This window comes from Homo sapiens, chromosome 9, assembly GCF_000001405.40.
Source record: "Homo sapiens chromosome 9, GRCh38.p14 Primary Assembly".
Taxonomy (NCBI): Eukaryota; Metazoa; Chordata; class Mammalia; order Primates; family Hominidae; genus Homo; species Homo sapiens.
This window is the reverse complement of record NC_000009.12, coordinates 132,386,282-132,407,399: the sequence shown is the minus strand read 5'-3', so window position 1 is coordinate 132,407,399 and position 21,118 is coordinate 132,386,282. Positions and strand designations below refer to the sequence as shown.

Sequence of the window (21,118 nt, the reverse complement as noted above, 5' to 3'; positions counted from 1 at the left end):
CTGTCACCCTGTGGGTTCACTGTGTGGATTCACTCTGTGCTCCAGCTGCTCTGGCCTTGTCCCAGGTCCTCCAGCAACCAAGTTCAGGACTTTTGCACTCACTTCCAGCCTGGAACACTCTTCTGCCTAGATTTTTTGCCTGCCCTTTCCATTTAGAACTCAGTTCAAATGTCACCTCCTCAGTGAGCCCTCTCTTACATCTAAAGTAGCACCCACCGTCCCCTAGTCACTCTCCATCACGTCACCCTGTTTTATTTTCCTTACAAGATAATCTGAAATTATCTTAGTTGATTTGTCATCTGTCTTCCCAAGTTGTTCCTGGAGTTCACCAAAAACTGGAATAAATGGAATGCACGCATGCATTAGTACGTCAATGGAGGGGGATTCTGTCCTACTTTCTTCGTTTCAGGAGCACTCTCTACCCCACCTGACGTCTAAAGGACCCAGAAGGAAAATGGGTAGGCAAATGTGCGCGCCTCCAAGGCCTAGCGGCAGCCGTGTTACCATGGCAGCGTGACGCCGAGGGGGCCGGAAGGCGACGCACTACTACTTCCGCTTCCTCAACAGCAGCACTTCCGGGTTGGGAGAAAGGTGGCGGCGCTTTCGGAGGGTAAGTTGAAAGCGCCTTTGTTGTTTCTGTTTTTCAAAATGCGCGCGTAAAAACTCAGCGTGGGGTGGTGGGTTTCCCCGTCTTCTGGGAGACCCGCCTTTTGGCCTGAGGTCTCCAGGCCGCGGTCTTTGCCCCAGGCCTTATCTCGGGGAAACTGAGGCTTGGGTGTTTTTTTTTTTTTTTTTTAAAGATGGAGTTTTGCTCTTGTCGCCCAGGCTGGAGTGCGGTGGCGCGATCTCGGCTCACTGCAACCTCCGCTTCCTGGGTTCAAGCGATTCTCCTGCCTCAGCCTCCCGAGTAGCTGGGATTATAGGCGCCCGCCACCAAGCCTAGCTAATTTTTGTATTTTTAGTAGAGACAGGGTTTCACCATGTTGGCCAGGCTGGTCTCGAACTCCTGACTTCAGGTGATCCACCCGCCTCGGCCTCTCAAAGTGCTGGGATGACAAGCGTGAGCCACCGCGCCCGGCCGCGGCTTGGGTCTTTGGGAGTGAGAAGATGCAGAATTCACATCTGGTTAGTTCCTCCAGTCTCAGCCCTGGAGCGCCCACCCGGGAGCAGAGCGGGGTCTCTCTCGCACCCCAAAGGCGGTGAGAGAATCCGGGACCAGGTTTGGGCACGTACCTGCAGAGCGGGAAGTGTATGTTCTGAGTAAGGGGGGATAAATGCATATCCGTTCTCAATATGTATCGAGCACTGACTGGGGAGCCATTTGGGAGCAAGATGGCCAGGATTCCAGCCCTCAAGAAGCCGATCATATTATAACTGCCAAAAGTGCAATGGGGAGCAGCTGGTTGTTGGGAAACACTGTTAACCAGAAAGATGAGACCGGCTAAGGAGTTAGAGAGGTCCTCTTGAGAAAGTGGCTTTCATACTTGGACCAGTTAAAGGGCAGAAAGGTAATGCGGAGGAAGAGCTTTCCTGATGGAATGGGCTGTTTTTGCAAAGTTCCTGAGACGAAAAGGAAGGTAGTGTATTCTAGGAACTGAAAACAGCAGGGTTTCTGAAACCTAGAGAGAAGTGAGAGGTAGAGAGGTGGGCATGGACTTACCTCTGTCCATCTCTAGGCTAGATTATGAAGAAATGAAGACTCTTGCAGGTCTGTGAGGATTTTGACTTTATCTTAAGAATAACAGGGGAACCCTAAAAAGTTTTTAGCAGGGAGAGACTATATATTTAGAAGGTTGTACTGGGCTCCAGAGACCAGAGAGCAGCCTAGGAAGTATTTACAAAAAAGAAGGAAAGGAACTGATGGAAGGGGAAATGTTATTTAAAGAAATCAAGGCCGGGCGCTGTGGCTTACGCCTGTAATCCCAGCGCTTTGAGAGGCCGAGGCAGGTGGGTCACCTGAGGTCAGGAGTTCAAGACCAGCCTGGCCAACATGGCGAAACCCCGTCTCTACTAAAAATACAAAGATTAGCCAGGCTTGGTGGCTTGCGCCTGTAATCCCAGCTACTACTCCGGAGGCTGAGGCAGGAGAATCGCTTGAACCCGGGAGGCGGAGGTTGCAGTGAGCCGAGATCGTGCCACTGCACTCCAGCCTGGGTGACAGAACGAGATTCTGTCTCCAAAAAAAGAAAAAGAAAAAAAGAAAAGAAAAGAAATCAGCCAGTGGGTGGCTCACGCCTGTAATCCCAGCACTTTGGGAGGCCGAGGCGGTTGGATCACAAGGTCAGGAGATCGAGACCATCCTGGCTAACACGGTGAAACTCCGTCTCTACTAAAAAATACAAAAAAATTAGCCTGGCGTCGTGGCGGGCACCTGTAGTCCCAGCTACTCGGGAGGCTGAGGCAGGAGAATGGCGTGAACCCGGGAGGCAGAGCTTGCAGTGAGCTGAGATCACGCCACTGCACTCCAGCCTGGGCGACAGAGCAAGACTCCGTCTCAAAAAAAAAAGAAAAAAAAGAAATAATCGGCTTTGCTCTGTTTGTGATTTATTAAGAGGTCCTAAAAGATGGGCCTGAAAAGTGTCTGTTGAAATTTGTGGCTTTAAGAACAAAGGCACTCTTGCTGGAACGGTCTCAGTGGAGTAGTGGGGTGGGAGCTACCAGGATGTGGGTTAATAAGTGGATGAAAGGTGAGGTAATGGAAAGAGTGATTTCTCTTTCAGGAAATGTTGCTGTGAAGGGGAAGAAAGAGAACAGCTGGATGAGACTTTAGGGTTAAACGACAGTTGCATTTTTTTTTTAAGTTAGAGGAGATTAAATATTGTTGGCATTTTGCTAGAAAACGCAGGCTGAAGATACAGGAGAGAGATGAGAGAGAAGATACGGAGAGACCACCATCTCTCTGAGAAGGCAGGAGAGGGTTGGGAGCCAGCACACATTTTCCTTCCTATAACGGAAGGAAATAGCCTTTGACAGAAGGGACACTTCCTTTGTTGCAGCGAGACAGAGAGAGAGAGGATGTGGCAGTGCAAGTAGGTGTGTTAGACTTGGGGGAGTAACATATTCCTTGTCTAATACAGCTGATATTTACTACCCCGGATAAATTAGGTAGCTTCTGTAGAAAATGTGCTTAGCATTGAGACTTTAAAGACCGCTGATATAGAGAGAGCTCCAGGATCTATGTTGTTAGGTGAAAATAGCAAATGCAGATCACAATATATAGATGTTAACCTTCTGTGTAAAAAAGGAGAGGAAATATGAAGATCATTTTTATTTTTGTACGACGTAAATGTGTCATTTAGCCAAAGATAAATCTAAAAAAATGAAACCCAGAAGCAATACAGAGCAAAGAGAACAATAAGACATGTTTGCAAAATTATATTTTTAATCATCTCTTTTGGAAAGTGCATTTATATTTCTGTATTTTAATTCCAAGTGCACACACCCTGTATGTGAGTATTAACGTTAGTGGCTTGTGAAATTTATTCCAGTGTATCGCAGAACGTCCGCTCTTTGTTGGACACTAACAAGGCATATCCAACTTCTTTCACAAAGAGGCCAACTTCTGGTTTGAGGTCAGTGGATACCTGATATCCCCACTGCGAAGCCCTTTTGTGGATCCTGCACTCGAATGGAGTCTAATGGCTTCTCCATGGTACAAACACAGAGGGGAACAAGACAGATAAACCATCTTTTTCTTCCTTGTTTTCTTTTTTCTTTGTCTTTTTTTTTTAAAGCAGAGAAGACAGCCTGTAAATGACTAAATAAATGTTTCTTTTTTAAATATGAAAGTATATTACTTGGGAATCAGGCCAAGCCCAAGGAATCAGGGAAAACTTTTTGAAGAACTGATCTTCAAACCAAGCTCTGAAGGATGGCAGGAGGCAAGGAGGGTGGGGAGGCTGTGGAGAGAATTTCATGGAGAGCTGGGGGGGAAAGGTTATGGCACGTTTGAGGAAGCAAAACAAGCTGCTTTTGGCTTAAACGCAGAGTTGGAAAGACGAGTTCAGAGGTGAGGCTGTGGGGGACAGGGGCCTTATGGTGCAAGGCACTGTTGTTCTCTGTTAACTCTTTTTTTCTCTATCATAAAGGCAGTGGGACCAGACAGAGAGAATTCCAGTGAGCCACCTGTGTATCTAGAATAATCTGAAATTTGTAATCATGACTACAGGCTTGTCATTTGTCATACAATTTCATTTTGCTGTGATTTTTTCCGCTGAGGCTATGTTTAAAATGCAAAAATAGGCCAGGCACGGTGGCTGACGCCTGTAATCCCAGCACTTTGGGAGGCTGGAGTGGGCGGATCATGAGGTCAGGAGATCGAGACCATCCTGGCTAACACAGTGAAACCCCATCTCTACTGAAAATACAAAAACAAAATTAGCTGGGCGTGCTGGTGGGTGCCTGTAGTCCCAGCTATTCGGGAGGCTGAGGCGGGAAAATGGCATGAGCCCAGGAGGCGGAGCTTGCAGTGAGCCGAGATCGCGCCACTGCACTCCAGCCTGGGCGACAGAGTGAGACTCCGTCTCAAAAAAAAAGCAAAAATAAACCATTGTTGTCACATTTCCATATAGGAATAAAATGGAAGGAGAATCAAGCAGATTTGAAATCCACACTCCAGTTTCTGACAAGAAAAAGAAAAAGTGTTCTATACATAAGGAAAGACCTCAGAAACATTCCCACGAAATTTTCAGAGACTCCTCCCTGGTGAATGAACAGTCTCAAATAACTAGGAGGAAAAAGAGGAAAAAAGATTTCCAGCATCTCATTTCTTCTCCTTTGAAAAAATCCAGAATCTGTGATGAGACTGCAAATGCCACTTCCACACTCAAAAAGAGAAAAAAGAGAAGATATAGTGCTTTGGAGGTGGACGAGGAAGCAGGTGTTACAGTTGTCCTTGTGGATAAAGAAAATATTAACAACACACCAAAGCATTTTAGAAAGGATGTTGATGTTGTTTGTGTTGATATGAGCATAGAACAGAAGTTACCAAGAAAGCCTAAAACAGACAAATTTCAGGTACTTGCTAAGTCACATGCACATAAATCAGAAGCCCTGCACAGTAAAGTTAGGGAGAAAAAGAATAAAAAGCATCAGAGGAAAGCTGCATCCTGGGAGAGCCAGCGGGCAAGGGACACCCTGCCTCAGTCAGAATCCCACCAGGAGGAGTCCTGGCTTTCTGTGGGTCCAGGGGGTGAAATTACAGAACTACCAGCATCTGCTCATAAAAACAAGTCTAAGAAAAAAAAGAAAAAGTCCAGTAACCGGGAATATGAGACACTGGCCATGCCTGAAGGATCGCAAGCAGGCAGAGAGGCCGGGACTGATATGCAGGAATCCCAGCCTACTGTGGGCTTGGATGATGAAACTCCACAACTACTAGGACCTACTCACAAAAAAAAGTCTAAGAAAAAAAAGAAGAAAAAGTCCAATCACCAGGAATTTGAGGCATTGGCCATGCCTGAAGGATCACAAGTGGGCAGTGAGGTTGGGGCTGATATGCAGGAATCCCGGCCTGCTGTGGGCCTGCATGGTGAAACTGCAGGAATACCAGCACCTGCTTATAAAAACAAGTCTAAGAAAAAAAAGAAAAAGTCCAATCACCAGGAATTTGAGGCAGTGGCCATGCCTGAGAGCCTCGAGAGTGCATACCCTGAAGGATCACAGGTGGGCAGTGAGGTTGGGACTGTGGAAGGCAGTACAGCTCTTAAAGGGTTCAAGGAATCCAACAGTACAAAGAAGAAGTCTAAGAAAAGGAAGCTTACGTCTGTCAAAAGGGCACGAGTGTCTGGTGATGATTTTTCAGTGCCCAGTAAGAACTCTGAGAGCACACTCTTTGATTCAGTAGAAGGTGATGGCGCCATGATGGAAGAAGGTGTGAAATCTAGGCCCCGACAAAAGAAAACCCAGGCCTGTTTGGCAAGCAAGCACGTGCAAGAGGCGCCAAGGTAACGAGGGAGTGGTATTCCAGCTGCTGGTATATTTCTTTCGTATGGATTCTGCCGATACCTCTTTATTTAGCACAGACTTTTTTTTATTTTTAATTTTATTTTTATTTATTTATTTATTTATTTTTGAGGTGGAGATTTGCTCTTATTGTCCAGGCTGGAGTGCAATGGTGCAATCTCGGCTTACCGCACCCTCCACTTCCCGGGTTCAAGCGATTCCCCAGCCTCAGCCTCCTGAGTAGCTGAGATTACCGGCATGCACCATGCCTGGCTAATTTTGTATTTTTAGTAGAGACGACGTTTGTCCTTGTTAGTCAGGCTGGTCTCGAACTCCTGACCTCAGGTGATCCGCCTGCCTCAGCCTCCCAAAGTGCTGGGATTACAGGCGTGAACCACCGTGCCTACCCTTAGCACATACATATTAAATGGCAAAAATCATCAAGAGGTAGACCCTCATTGTACAGAATATCGTACATCTTTAATTGTGTAAACTTGGCAGGTAGTTTAATTTCTTCATGTGTGAAATAAGACAGATTCGATTTTCACTAAGAACTATTCCAGCCCTAGAAAATCTATGAGTAAATTTAAAAGCCCAAATTACCTTTGAAAAATATAAAAGCCCAAATTACCTTTGAAAAATAGTCTGAGCAAATAACCAGTGGAAATGGGGCTTAGGGCTGCACTTTTAGCTTCTAGGCTCCCTCTGAGATATATCCAAGTAATTCAAGTTCCAGTAAAAAGTTTGAAAATCACAGACTGAGTCAACTCCAAGATCTCATCTTGCTTTAATATTCTAGTAGCCTAAGTGAGAGCCATTTTAAGAAAAGTTTAAGGCCAGGCGTGGTGGCTCATGCCTGTAATCCCAGCACTTTGGGAGGCCAAGGTGGGTGAGTCACTTGAGGCCAGGAGTTCGAGACCAGCCTAGCCAACATGGCGAAACCCTGTCTCTACTAAAAATACAAAAGTTAGCCGGGCGTGGTGGCGCGTACCTGTAGTCCCAGCTACTCTGGAGGCTGAGGCAGGAGAATCGCTTGAACCGGGAGGCAGAAGTTGCAGTGAGCTGAGATCGCACCATTGCACTCCAGCCTGGCGACAGAGCAAGCCTCTGTCTCACGAAAAAAAAGAAGGAAAAATTTTAAAGTTATGAGGTCAAGTGATGTGTTAATGTTAGTCAACCCAATTTTCTAACCCCTTAGGTTAGAACCTGCAAATGAAGAACACAATGTGGAAACAGCTGAAGATTCCGAAATAAGATACTTATCTGCAGATTCAGGAGATGCCGATGATTCAGATGCGGATTTGGGTTCTGCCGTGAAACAGCTTCAGGAGTTCATTCCTAACATCAAGGACAGGGCCACCAGCACAATCAAGCGGATGTACCGGGACGACTTGGAACGGTTTAAGGAATTTAAAGCACAAGGTGAGCTTGTGGGGCCTTAGTGTTTGTTGAACTTCCTGTATGCAGAGCTAGCACCTAACTTTCTTTTATGGATGATTCAGATTTATAGATCGACAAGAAGCATTCTTTCTCCTCCTTCACCTCTATCTCCTACCAGAATTGTCCAAGCTGTAAAATTAGCAAAATAAAGTGCACTTGCTTTTCCTCTTCTTGCCCAGTTTCTGGTAAAGGTGGCCAGGAAGAATGGGGCTAAAGAGACCAGATAATTAATTCCCACTAAGAAGAGAAGGGACGAGAGGTTAATTGGTTGAGACACTGGAAATGATACAACAGTTATATAAAATTAAAATGCTGTCAAATTAAAATCAACTTTAATGAGGTATCGTTTCTTTCTCCAAGATATTAAATTGATGGTGAGCCAGTTGTGGTAGACTTGATCACCTTCTTGATTTCACTGTGTTTCTGAACCTCTCTTATTAAGAATTATTATTATTAAGAATAATAAATAACCTTTATTATTCTTAAATCCAATAATAAAGCTTATTGGGTTTAAGAATAAACTGCAAATTTAAGGCTGTATACTACAAATGAGCAATATTTACTGAGTATCTGTTGTGTGAGACCCAATACAACTGGTCATTGAAAAAAGTAAAAAGAGGAGTCATAACCTTCCAGAATTAATGGGATTGAAGAGATTCAGAAAAATAGACAAGACAAATTAAGCAAAAAAGACAGCACTACCCACGTACACACAATTATAGAGTGGTATAGAATCCCATTTTGGTGTATTGTGTTGAAATTTTTATGAGTATGTATTTCATAAAAGACTTTTTTTTTTTTCTTTTTTTTTTTTTTTTGAGACAGAGTCTTGCTCTGTAGCCCAGGCTGGAGTGCAGTGGCATGATCTCGGCTCACTGCAACCTACGCCTCCTGGGTTCAAGTGGTTCTCCCACCTCAGCCTCCCAAGTAGCTGGGACTACAGGCGCCTGCCACCAAGCCCAGCTAATTTTTGTATTTTTAGTTGAGATGGGGTTTCACCATATTATTGACCAGGCTGGTCTCAAACTCCTGACCTCATGATTCGCCTGTCTCGGCCTCCCAAAGTGCTGGGATAACATGCATAAGCCACTGTGCCTTGCCCATAAGATATTTTTAAAGTAAACCTAGGCCAAGTGAGGTGGCTCACACCTGTAATCCCAGCACTTTGGGAGGCCAAGGCAAGAGAATTGCTTGAGGCCTGGAGTTTAAGACCAGTCTGGGCAAAACAGCAAGACCCCGTCTTACAAAAAATAAAAAATTAGCCAGGTGTCACACACACCTGTAGTCCCAGCTACTCGGGAGGCTGAGGCAGGAGAATCACTTGAGCCCAGGAGTTCAAGGTTGCAGTGGACTTTGATCATGCCACTGCACTCCAGCCTGGGTGAAAAAGCAAGACCCTATCTCTAAAGAATGCATAAATAAATTTGAAAACTATTTTTTAAAAAGATAGATTAAACAGGAAAGGTCACTTTGGAATAGGATGACCCGGGAAGACATTGACAGAAGAGGTGTGGCTTGGGCTGAACCCTGAAGGAAAGGCCAAATCTGCAAGTGCGGGCAGGAGGGCGAATGTCAGGTGTTGGGACTGTTGGGCCGAGGTACTGTCATTGCTGATGAAAAACCAAGTCATAGGTTTGCTTTTGTCATTATTAACAATACACACTTTCTCCCTGTTCCTTCCCAATTCTAGGTGTCGCTATTAAATTTGGCAAGTTTTCTGTAAAGGAAAATAAGCAGTTAGAGAAAAATGTGGAAGACTTTCTAGCCCTGACAGGCATTGAGAGTGCAGACAAGCTGCTGTACACGGACAGATATCCTGAGGAAAAATCTGTGATCACCAACTTAAAAAGGAGATACTCGTTTAGATTACACATTGGTAAGTTTAGAAACAATCACCCTTTGACCATCCACAGCCTTCCAGCCATAAACAAGATAACCCATGGTAAGTGTTAGCACGGTACCTGGCCCATTGCCTGCAGGCGGCGCACATTAACTGCTGTGATGGCTGATGATATTCTTTTTTTTTTTTTTGAGACGGAGTCTTGTTCTGTTGCCCAGGCTGGAGTGCAGTGGTGCAATCTTGGCTCACTGCAACCTCCACCTCTGGGGTTCAAGTGATTTTCCTGCCTCAGCCTCCTGAGTAGCTGGGACTACAGGTGCCCACCACCACGCCCAGCTAATTTTTTGTATTTTTAGTAGAGACGGGGTTTCACCTTGTTAGCCAGGATGGTCTCGAACTCCTGACCTCGTGATCCGCCTGCCTCGGCCTCCCAAAGTGCTGGGATTACAGGCGTGAGCCACCGCGCCCAGCCCTGATGGTATTCTTATTGCCAGTCTGTACTTTCTGGGATTTGGAATGTGTTCATGTCTCCCAAGTTTAGGGTGAAAAATTAAATGATCAACTTTTACCTTTCTTCCTTGGCAATAGTTGTGGTTTTGGTTTCTCCTCCTGTTCCTTATTTATATTTTGTGTACGCTACACAAAGCACATCCTTATACGCACCATGGTCTCCCGTGTTTTTTAAGTGTGGCCATATGTGTGCTTTGTAACTGGAACCCTCCGACTGGAGGTGCTGCCTGTGAAGTTAGAAGGTCATGCTGTCATATGGGATCAGAGCGAAAGCAAATCTCTCTTGAATTTAAAGAGGATAATTTCTTAGGTGTTGTGTGGAATCCACGAAGAAAAGCAGGCTAGTACGCCCCCGTTGAGGGATTATTTCCCCTTAGAGTGAGAAAGTGAGAAAAGCTGATTTGGGAAAGATTATTGTTCATCTTCTGGAAAACTGTTACCCTGTATTCTCCACCGCAGTGTTCTCTTCCTCTTAATTCACATTATCTTAAAACTACTTTGCCTCTTAAGGATTCTTTCCACAAATTGCATAGACCGGAAGCTGAAGCCTCAGGGTACTAAGCATTTAGTTTTCGGAGATCTCCAAGGAAACTGGTGATTGTGTGTATCTGCTCTTCAAGACAGCTTTCTTAGGCCGGGCGCGGTGGCTCATGCCTGTAATCCCAGCACTCTGGGAGGCCGAGGAGGGCGGATCACCTGAGGTCAGGAGTTCAAGACCAGCCTGGCCACCAAATGAACCTGGCCAGCTGGTTCATTTGGTGAAGCAGCCTTCACCAAATGAAACAGCCTGGTTTCATTTAGTGAAACCCCGTCCCTACTAAAAATATAAAAACCAGCTGGGCGTGGCGGTGGACACCTGTAATCCCAGCTACTCGGGAGGCTGAGGCAGGAGAATTGCTTGAACCCAAGAGATGGAGGTTGCAGTGAGCCGACACAGTGCCACTGCACTCCAGCCTCAGTGACAGAGTGAGACTCTCTCAAAAAAAAAAAAACAAACAAAAAAAACAAGACAGCTTTCTTCAGGACGTAGGAAATCCCAGCCTTAACACGGGGCTTAGGATAGTTCATGTTGTTATAAGGGCTGTTCTGGGTTCCTTTTACAATTGCGACTTCATTTCATGTGAGTCCCTCTGATCACCTTTCTTCTGACTTTAGGTAGGAACATTGCCCGGCCCTGGAAACTTATATACTATCGAGCAAAGAAGATGTTCGATGTCAACAATTACAAAGGCAGGTAAGAAAAAAGTCTTAGCAGCTTGAGACAACATTTCTCTAGTCTTTGCTGATACCATAAATCAAAATATTCACAGCAGTGGATTAGCAGTAAAGATAACGCAGATTTGTGTGTGTGAAACCAGGTGGTGTATTTGTTGTCAAATGTGTGTCTTCATGGCCTTTTCCATCCCCACCTCTTTAGTGAAGCTGTGGTGACCTTCTGTTTCCTGCATCTGCAGCTTTCTCTACACTTTTTCTTTAGCACTCCCCATATGCTGCTTCATGTGCTGTGACTCCTGTTTACTCTGCTCTCTGCTTACGTCATAAGCTCCTTGTGAACCCAAACATCCCATCTCGACACATGTTCCATTCAGCACTTAGCAGAGTGCTGTGGGTTTTTAGTAACTATTTGAAGGTGGAGGTAAGTGCTGGGATTAGGTCCCTTAAATGCAGTTCAGTGGTATCAACCTGGGGTGCTTAACCCGGTTGTCATTCTCTCCTTCCTTTTCCCCAAATACAATATCGGATTATAATTTGTTTCCAACACATTTAAAAACAAACCAAACGTAGACCGAGCGTTTGGGTTAGCACGTTAGCACTCTGCTCAGGGACAGAAGGAGAAGCAGGAAGGTGTTAGCTCGGATTCCACGGCCCCCGAAAACTACCTTCTACTCAGCTGCTTGACCTCTCTCTGAGAGGCAGCTTTCATAAATCTTCTGGCAGCGGCAGTTGAGTTCTGCTTAGCTCTGTGATTGTAAACTGAGACATAGGTCATTACTTAAACTTCCAACGTTGATATGACCTCGGTTTCCTTTTTAAAATTTTTACAGAAATAAATCAGCCTTAGGTGAGGAAAGTTCACACACAGACTGAGACCTGCCCTGCCTGTTTTTCCCCAATCCTGAGGTTAGACAATTGTGAACAGAACTTTTAAGAAAATCCACTAAAGGTAACATTTTAAATGGGACTTACAAGAATGCTTTTGGCAGGTTAATGGTGGCAGCTGAGGTAATATATTTCCACCTGTGACACACACACAGGAATGAAATTTTTAGAGTAATTTTTAGAGTCATTCTAAAAATCTAACAGTTCATCTCTTTGTGCTGTATTATTTGTGTTGTGGTGATCATTTACCCTTAGAATATTTTTATAGCAAGCAATTCCTGACTTCAAAAAAATAGAAAGTAAAAAATCAAAGAATTATTATTATTTTAATTTTTAATTTTTGTTGTTGATTTTTTGTTGTTTTTTTCTTTTTTTGAAATGGAGTCTCAGTCTGTCGCCCAGGCTGGAGTGCAATGGCGCAATCTTGGCTCACTGCAACCTCCGCCTCCCAGGTTCAAGCAATTCTCCTGTCTCAGCCTCCCGGGTAGCTGGGACTACAGGCACCCACCACCACGCCCGGCTAATTTTTGTATTTTTCGTAGAGACGGGGTTTCACCATATTGGTCAGACTGGTCTGGAACTCCTGACCTCAGGCGATCCACCTGCCTCAGCCTCCCACGGTGCTGGGATTACAGGGGTGAGACACCGTGCCTGGCAATTTTTTTTTTTTTTTTGGAACAGGGTCTCCCTCTGTCACCCAGACTGGAGTGCAGTGGTGCGAACTCGGCTCATTGGAACCTCCACCTCCTGGGTTCAAGCGATTCTCCTGCCTCAGCCTCCCAAGAGGCTGGGACTGCAGGCGTGTGCCACCACACCCAGCTAATTTTTATATTTTTAGTGGAGATGAGCTTTCACCATGTTGACCAGGCTGGTCTCAAATTCCTGACCTCAAGTGATCCTCCTGCCTCAGCCTCCCAAAGTGCTGGGATTGCAGGCTTGAGCCACCACACCTGGCTTACAGCCATGATTCTTAATAGTGAAAAGTAGGCCAGGCACAGTGGCTCACACCTATAATTCCCAGCACTTTGAGAGGCTGAGGTGGGCGGATCACTTGAGGTCAGGAGTTCGAGACCAGACTGGCCAACATGGTGAAACCTTATCTCTACTAAAAATACAAAAATTAGCCTGGCGTGGTGGCAAACGCTTATAATCCCAGCTACTTGGGAGGCTGAGGCAGGAAGATTGCTTGAACCTGTGAGGCAGAGGTTGCTGTGAACCGAGATTGCGCCACTGCACTCCAGCCTGGGAAACACAGCAAGACTCCGCCTCAAAAAAAAAAATAGTGAAGAATAACCAGTTTCTATTCACCATACGCTGCATTTACAGACAAATGTCTGAAAATGCTCCGATGTTATTGTTTGTTTTTGGCTGGGTGCGGTGGCTCATGCCTGTAATCCCAGCACTTTGGGAGGCTGAGGCAGGCGGATCACTGGATTAGGAGTTTGAGACCAGCCTGGGCAACGTGGCTCTACAAAAAATACAAAAATTAGCCTGGTATGCACCTGTAGTCCCAGCTACTTGGGAGGCTGAGGTGGGAGGATCGCTTGATCCCAGGAGGTGGAGGTTGCAGTGAGCCATGATCATGCCACTGTGCTCCAGCCTGGGTGACAGAGCCAGACCCTGTCTCAAAGAAAAAAAAAAAAAGAAATTGTATTTTTTAGGACTTCTTAGTGATGACATAAACCACCATTCCTACTCAGATAGGAATCTGAAGATGTTATAAAGATTGCTTTTTATTTATTTAAATATTTAGGTGTTTAATCTTAAAATCCATTTATAATATTATAGTGCTTTTCTTAGTACTTTAATATATGTGTTTGCTGAGACCAGCTCGGTCCGGGAGACCCTAACCCAGCGGTGCTAGAGGAATTAAAGACACACACACAGAAATATAGAGGTGTGAAGTGGGAAGTCAGGGGTCTCACAGCCTTCAGAGCTAAGAGCCCCGAACAGAGATTTACCCACGTATTTATTAACAGCAAGCCAGTCATTAGCATTGTTTCTATAGATATTAAATTAACTAAAAGTATCCCTTATGGGAAACGAAGGGATGGGCCGAATTAAAGGAATAGGTTGGGCTAGTTAACTGCAGCAGGAGCATGTCCTTATGGCACAGATCGCTCATGTTATTGTTTGTGGCTTAAGAATGCCTTTAAGCGGTTTTCCGCCCTGGGTGGGCCCGGTGTTCCTTGCCCTCATTCCCGTGAACCCACAACCTTCCAGCGTGAGCATTAGGGCCATCATGAACATGTTACAGTGCTGCAGAGATTCTGTTTATGGCCAGTTTGCGGGGGGGGCTTGCTCCCAACATGTATTTTTATGTAGGATGAATGCACTTTACATTTCTCAAGTAGTTACATATTTACAGTAAAGCCATTTGTTGCATGTTTATGCAGTTTATACAGTAAAGCCATCTTTTGTCTGTCAAGCATTATGGATAACATAGTATACGAAACCGACAAGATCTCTGCCCTCATGGAACTTCCCTTCTAGAGCTGTGTCTTCCAGTATGGTGACCAGCAGCCTCCTGGGCCTGTGGAACATTTGAAATGTAGTTAGTCCACATTGAGATGTGCTGTCAGAGTAAAACACATGCTGGGTTTTGAAGGCTCAAGATGAAGAACCGAATGTAAAATACATCGTTGATATTTTTTGATACTGATGACGTGTTGAAATGATAGGCATTTTTAATGTATTGAGTTCAATGAAATATATTATTTTTTGTTTTTGTTTTTCATCACGCAACATGTCCATGTAAGAAATATATTCTTAAAGTTCCTTTGATTAAAACTAGGTAAAGTGAGTTTTCCTATGACTACTAGGAAACTTAAACTCCGTAAGAGGCTCGTATTATGTTTCTGTTGGGCAGTGCTGGTCTGGAGGAAGAGGCATGAACAAGGGAGCCAGTGCACGTGTGAGTGCAGGTTGTGACCAGTGCTATGGAAGAGAAGCACGGTGTTCTCCAGGAGCAATCAACGGGGACTTCAGGCTAAGGGGGTCAGGGAGGCGCTCCCCGAAAACGCACCCTTTAAACGGCACTGGCGAGCATGCAGGCACTGTCCAGGTCGGGTGGAGGAAGGCCGTTTCCACCACAGGGACAGAGGCTCTGAGCTGAAGAAGGGCTAAGTGATTGCTCCGGCTGCTGTTCAGTTGAGCCAGGCCTCTGGTCTCCACTTCAGTGATTGATTGATAGGATGACCACCAGTGAGACGCCAACAGGAAGTGAAGAGGGCTGTGACCGGGTTCCCTGACAGCCTGCCCCATTCAGCTTTCCCCACGATTGCTGCGTACTGGGATGAGAATACCATTTTTAATCTGATAGTTCGTTTAAACTTGTAAAACATTTTCCCTTTCTCCTAGGTATAGCGAAGGAGATACTGAGAAGTTAAAGATGTACCATTCTCTCCTTGGGAATGACTGGAAGACGATTGGTGAGATGGTGGCCCGAAGTAGCCTCTCCGTGGCCCTCAAGTTCTCACAGATCAGCAGTCGTAAGTGGCAGCCCCCAGTGCCCACCTCGCTGAAGAAATAAGCCCTGACAGGCCTGGTTCAGCCATAACCGATCCAATGCCCGGAAATCACCGTAGACCTGTCTTCCGCAAGAGCTTTGTTTCTTAAGCTGTTCTCTATACTAATTTGTTTGGTTTCCTCGTGTGTTTAGTGAAGCCATGTGACCTTTACCCACTAGGCTGGTTTTTACCACACTTCAGTAACTGTCCGTGCAAATATAACTGCCAAGTGGACCAGGACCCCAATAAACTGGTGGTGGGAGAGCCTGGGCGGAGGGTCACTTCCCCGCAGTGGCACGGGACACGTTGGGAGGGAGGCAGGCACGCAGTTCGTGCCCGTCAGGCGGGGACTTTTCTCAGAACCAGTGTTGGTGACCTCCTGTCTGTGTCTCCTCTTTCCTAAAAGGTTTCCTTTCAGAAGACAGTCCTGACCGGGTTTTCTGTTTAGCACAGGGGCTCACACACTCCGGCCACACAGCTAGTGCCTTGCAGCCAGTTCTTCAAGTTTCCAAGAACTAGAGGAAAATCTTAAATTGTTTTTTTTTTTAATTTTGTGAACTCTAGCTATCTTTTTTTCTTTTTTGGAAATCTCTTGATTTTTAAATATTCATCCAAATTGTTATTGAGGGGAAAATGTAACATTCTGTGGCCAGACCAAAAGCACAGCCAAACAGCTGCCAGTGTGACGCTCCTTACTTAGCGTGACCGTGAATGTCTCTAGTGAAGAAGGGTGAACCGTTGATACTTTGGGGCATCCGCCACAGATAACTGGCTTCAGAAATTCTCAGGTGCCTTCATCAAGTACTGTGTTGGTATCAGTGTAGCTATTTATATTGTTACACTATGAACTCTTGGCCAAGAGACATGTACATAACATAAAAGCCATTTGGCTGGCTTTTCTTCCCCCATTAAATGTTTGGGAACCTCACAGTTTGATGCGGGAGACGTTCTCAGAAACAGGATGAACAACTGTTTTGAAATAAATAAATAAAACATTGCTTTAAGAAAGGACTTATTGAATAATTTCAGGCTTTAGTTCTTAAAAAGAATCCATGACCGTGTTAGTAATTTCATTTTAATATGCACATAATTGTGTTTGTTTTATGTCTATATAATTGAGATGCACATTATTTTCTGAAAAGTACCCGATTTATCATTTCATTTTTAATATTGTGTTTGAAAGCAAATAGACTAGCTACTATAAGACCATCTTTTTATATCTACAGAAAGAAATCGTGGTGCTTGGAGTAAGTCTGAAACCCGGAAACTAATCAAGGCTGTCGAAGAAGTGATTCTGAAGAAGATGTCTCCCCAGGAGTTAAAAGAGGTGGATTCCAAACTCCAAGAAAATCCTGAAAGTTGCCTATCAATTGTTCGGGAAAAACTCTACAAGGGCATATCTTGGGTAGAAGTAGAAGCTAAAGTGCAAACCAGAAATTGGATGCAGTGTAAAAGTAAGTGGTAAGTTCTTCCCTCTCTCTTTCTCTGTCTCTCCAGCTTCTGTGGAGAGGTGAGGTTACCAAGAATATCTGTGTAACTGCCGTGGGGAAGCTGACGTGTCAAGAACAATCGTGTCTAGTCTGCTGCCCCAGCTGCTTCCATATCACTCTCTGATTTAAATGAGCACGTAACTAGCCCTGATGCATTGAAGAGTGTATGCTTTTCTCCTAAAGAACTTGAACCTTTTTAAAACTGAATATTGACTTCTGATTTCTTCACTCTTTCTAAGTCTTTAATAAAACAAGGTAGCAATCTGTTGGCAGCATTAGAAAAAAAGGGGCCACGCGCAGTGGCTCATGCGTGTAATCCCAACACTTTGGGAGGCTGAGGCAGGCAGATCACTTGAGGGCAGGAGTTCAAGACCAGCCTGGCCAATGTGGCAAAACCCTGTCTCTACCAAAAATACAAAAATTAGCCAAGTGTGGTGGCTCACAGCCACCAGTAGTCCCAGCTACTCAGGAGGCTGAGGCAGGAGAATCGCTTGAACCCAGGAAGTGGAGGTTGCAGTGAGCTGAGATCGCCCCATTGCACTCCAGCCTGGGCAACAGAGCGAGGCTCTGTCTCAAAAAAATAAAAAATATATAGAGAGAAAAAAGATAGAAAACTAACATACAGAGAGAAATCACAAGTGTAGTGATCAGTAGCAGCTCCACCCTTCTAATGTGCTTTCTGCTTCTGCGGTTCCTCAGATGAAGCGAGGTAGGCATGCTCCTGGCTGCGTCAGTCACATAGAGACAGTTTCAGTCCTGCTTCTGCCACACATTCTTTGCTGGATATAGCTTTTCCAAGACCTGGAGAGTCGCGGAGCTGGATGTCCAGCTGCAGCGAACTCCTCAAACCAGTGGTTCTGCATGCTCATGACCCCCCTACCTTGCACATGAAGGGCACTCAGTGGCTCTTGAATAATAAATAGGAGTAAAATCCAGAGTAGACATATTTTGTGTTAAAAGCAAACTCCTAGATCATACTGTTTATATACCTTACAACTCCAGGGGAATAAACTCCAAAGAACAGGGAATGTTGGAGGAACCAGAGCTCTTTTTACCTCTATTTTTAGCTAAAAGAAGGAAGAGTGAGGGCCGGGCACGGTGGCTCATACCTGTAATCCCAGCACTTTGGGAGGCTGAGGCAGGTGGATTACAAGGTCAGGAGTTCAAGACCAGACTGGCCAACATAGTGAAACCCCACCTCTACTAAAAATACAAAAAATTAGCCGGCGGGATGGCGGGCATCTGTAATCCCAGCTACTCGGGAGGCTGAGGCAGGAGAATTGCTTGAACCCAAGAGGCGGAGGTTACAGTGAGCCGAGATCACGCCATTGCACTCCAGCCCCAGCGACAGTGCCAGACTCCGTCTCAAAAAAAAAAAAAAAAAAGGAAGAGTGAGTTATAAGCCTCAAGTGGAGGATGACATACCAATGTTAAAAGGAGGACATGGTAATCATTAAGGGTAGTACTGGTTCAAGATCAACATAATTAAGATAACGTGCAAGATTTAGCTATTAATTTGAGATAAAAATAGGAAACTTAAACTCTGAACGTTTATTTACCTTGTGTAACATTGAAGTGACCTCCACTGGTACATTTCAACCCTGTAAACGTGGATGGCTCTCATTAAGAGCAACAATGTTGTTGATCAGCGTGTGTATCTCCGTTACCAAGAATGTAAATATAACAGCTAATGATCTATCAGATTGTGACAAATTTTGCTATTCAAGATAAGTACTTTTAAAATCTTTTTAATTGGGTCACTGCCTTTACTAGAACCTTCAGTCAGCCTGCAGCCACTAGCTTCGGCATTAGAGGAATCATCAAATCATTTCTCACTTTACTAAATTTGTCTTATTTGATGTTCCAAGGCTGGTAATGGTAATAAGAGCAATGCCTGTCTGTGCATAGATAGTCAAAATACATTGAGGTCCAGGTACTGTGGCTCATGTCTGTAATCCCAGCACTTTGGGAGGCCTAGGCAGGTGGATCACTTGAGGCCAGGAGTTTGAGACCAGCCTGGCCAACATGGTGAAACCCTGTCTCTACTGAAAATACAAAAATTAGCCGGGCGTGGTGGTGCGCACCTGTAAGGAATCCCAGCTACTCGGGAGGCTGAGGCAGGAGAATCGCTTGAACCCGGAAGGTGGAGGTTGCAGTGAGCTGAGACCGTGACACTGCACTCCAGCCTGGGTGACAAAGTGAGACCCCGTCTCAAAAAAAAAAAAGAAAAGTTAGAAGTTGGTTCTGAATGAGAGCAATTTAGATAAGAAAAATATAGGATATTTTAATGAAAACTCTACCCTTGAAAGTAAACTATGTTTTTCTTCCTTTTAATGTAGGACAGAAATTCTAACCAAGAGGATGACTAATGGTCGGCGTATCTACTATGGCATGAATGCCCTGCGGGCCAAGGTCAGCCTTATTGAAAGGTATGAAAAATAGAAACGGATGCCTCTTAACTGTTTCTGTCTCTAGCCAAAGAGAAGTTGTTAACCCAGCAGAGTCTGCAGTGAGATTGCCAAGGTCCAAATCCCTGTTCCAGCACTTTCCGCATGTATTGTGGGCATATGACCTACCCTTCTAAGTCTCAGTTTACTCATCTTAACTCATCTACTGAGGATGACGATAATCGTACCTAGCTCTTAGTGCTTTCAGGAGGATAAAAGAAAATAACGTGTGAAACATACTGTATACTCCGTGTATTTTAGTCTTTGAAGCATTTCATATGGATATAAATTATTTACGCCCGTTGGAAAATGGGGGTAAATGACTCAGGCAGAGCCCTCCTGTGCTCCAGCATGAGCTTGTTGGTGTCACCCTTGCTTGTCTTTGGTTTTGTCTTTGAGTTCCTTGTCCATGCAGGGTCCCCCCTAAAGTGTTGAAGGGTGACGAGGAAAAGGGAGACATGGGCCCGTTTCGTGATGCGTGTGAGACTAGTGGACCTGGCCCATGTCGACTGAGGAACAGGAAAGAGCAGCAGAAGCCTGTGGGTTCTGGCCTTGCTGTCCGCCTTCATTCCCTCTGCCTCACACGTGAGCCCTGCCTAAGGCTCACTGTGGGTTTCCTGATCCTCTTTCCTAGGGGTGGATCGGGGGGTGGTTATGCCCCCGCCCAGTCTTCCCTGCTAGAGAGGCAGCATAGATTACCAGATCCAAGAAGGGCATCTCAAGTCAAGCAGGCCTGGGTTCCAGTGTCGGCCCCACCTATTAGTCATGCAATCTGGAGCCCATGACTGTGTCTCTTGGCACCATTTCCCTGTCTGTAGATTGGGGGGGGAGGGTTACTGTAAATGAATTTGCGCACTTTAAGGTCTTAACTTGGCTCGGCGTGGTGCCTGACGCCCATAATCCCAACACTGGGAGGCCAAGGCAGGAGGAGCCCAGGAGTTTGAGACCAGCCTGAGCAACATGTCAAGACTCCATCCCTACAAAAAATCTAAAAAATTAGCCGGGCATGGTGCCACGTGCTTATGGTTCCAGCTTCTTGAGAGGCTGAGGTGGGAGAGTTGCCTGAGTCCAGGTGGTCGAGGCTGCAGTGAGCCACGATCACGCCACTGCAGTCCAGCCAGGGTGACAGAGCGAGACCCTGTATCAAAAAAAAGACCTTCACAGTGTCTGTCACATAGTACAGATGTCCTCTTACTGTGTGTCTATGTTGAATGATGAGGTGGTGTTTTTTACTGTGAGAAAGCAACATGGTTTGTTGAGAGAAACAAAGGGCTCAGAAAGAGGAAAGAGGTCTTTTCAGCCCATCTCTGTAGCCCACCAACTGACTGACCTGGATTAACCTTGGGCTGGGATGCTGAGCTCACTGTGCATGTGTAACGAGGGAGCTGGAATGCGGCGAAAGCGCACATACCTTCCAGCTCTCAGCACTCCACGCGTCCATGAAGATGGCTATCATGATTATTTTTGCTTGAAAATTTAATTTTTATTTTTTCTCACAGGTTGTATGAAATAAATGTGGAAGATACTAATGAAATAGACTGGGAAGATCTTGCTAGTGCCATAGGGTAAGACCATTTGTTTAATATTAAACTAATTAAAATATAGAGATGACTTAATAAATACAATAACTCCCTATCATCTTACAGGGCTGATAATGATGCTGCATTTGGAATTTTGTATAAGTGGTGGTTAAAATTCAGTGTATTTGCTAGGAAACCAATTTGTTAGTGCAGAGGAAACTGTAATTTTAGGAGCAGTGTATACGTAAAGGCTCTGAGCTGCTAGGTAGATCAGGTTTTCATGACACTAAATACATCACTAGTTGGATATGTTTTTCAT

At 45.0% G+C, this 21,118-nt stretch overlaps 1 protein-coding gene across 8 annotated transcripts in view; it reads left to right on the top strand.

Annotated features, from left to right (window-relative positions):
* Positions 1 to 559: 559 nt before the first annotated feature.
* The window catches only part of TTF1 (transcription termination factor 1), a 31,293-nt gene continuing 10,734 nt past the window's right edge, over positions 560 to 21,118 (top strand). The window contains exons 1-9 of one of the 8 annotated variants that reach the window (NR_134525.2): positions 560 to 610; positions 4,572 to 5,945; positions 7,142 to 7,365; positions 9,074 to 9,259; positions 10,889 to 10,967; positions 15,194 to 15,324; positions 16,569 to 16,796; positions 19,172 to 19,261; positions 20,779 to 20,844. Coding sequence is in view for 4 of the 8 variants with exons in the window: in XM_047423838.1 (XP_047279794.1) it covers positions 1,108 to 1,199; positions 4,572 to 5,945; positions 7,142 to 7,365; positions 9,074 to 9,259; positions 10,889 to 10,967; positions 15,194 to 15,324; positions 16,569 to 16,803; positions 19,172 to 19,261; positions 20,779 to 20,844 (2,477 nt within the window). In the remaining 4 variants the exon portion in view is untranslated. Of the gene's footprint in view, positions 1,200 to 4,571; positions 5,946 to 7,141; positions 7,366 to 9,073; positions 9,260 to 10,888; positions 10,968 to 15,193; positions 15,325 to 16,568; positions 16,804 to 19,171; positions 19,262 to 20,778; positions 20,915 to 21,118 lie in introns of those variants that run through there. The other 7 variants (XR_007061343.1, XR_007061342.1, NM_007344.4 and 4 more) reach the window with 7 other exon arrangements.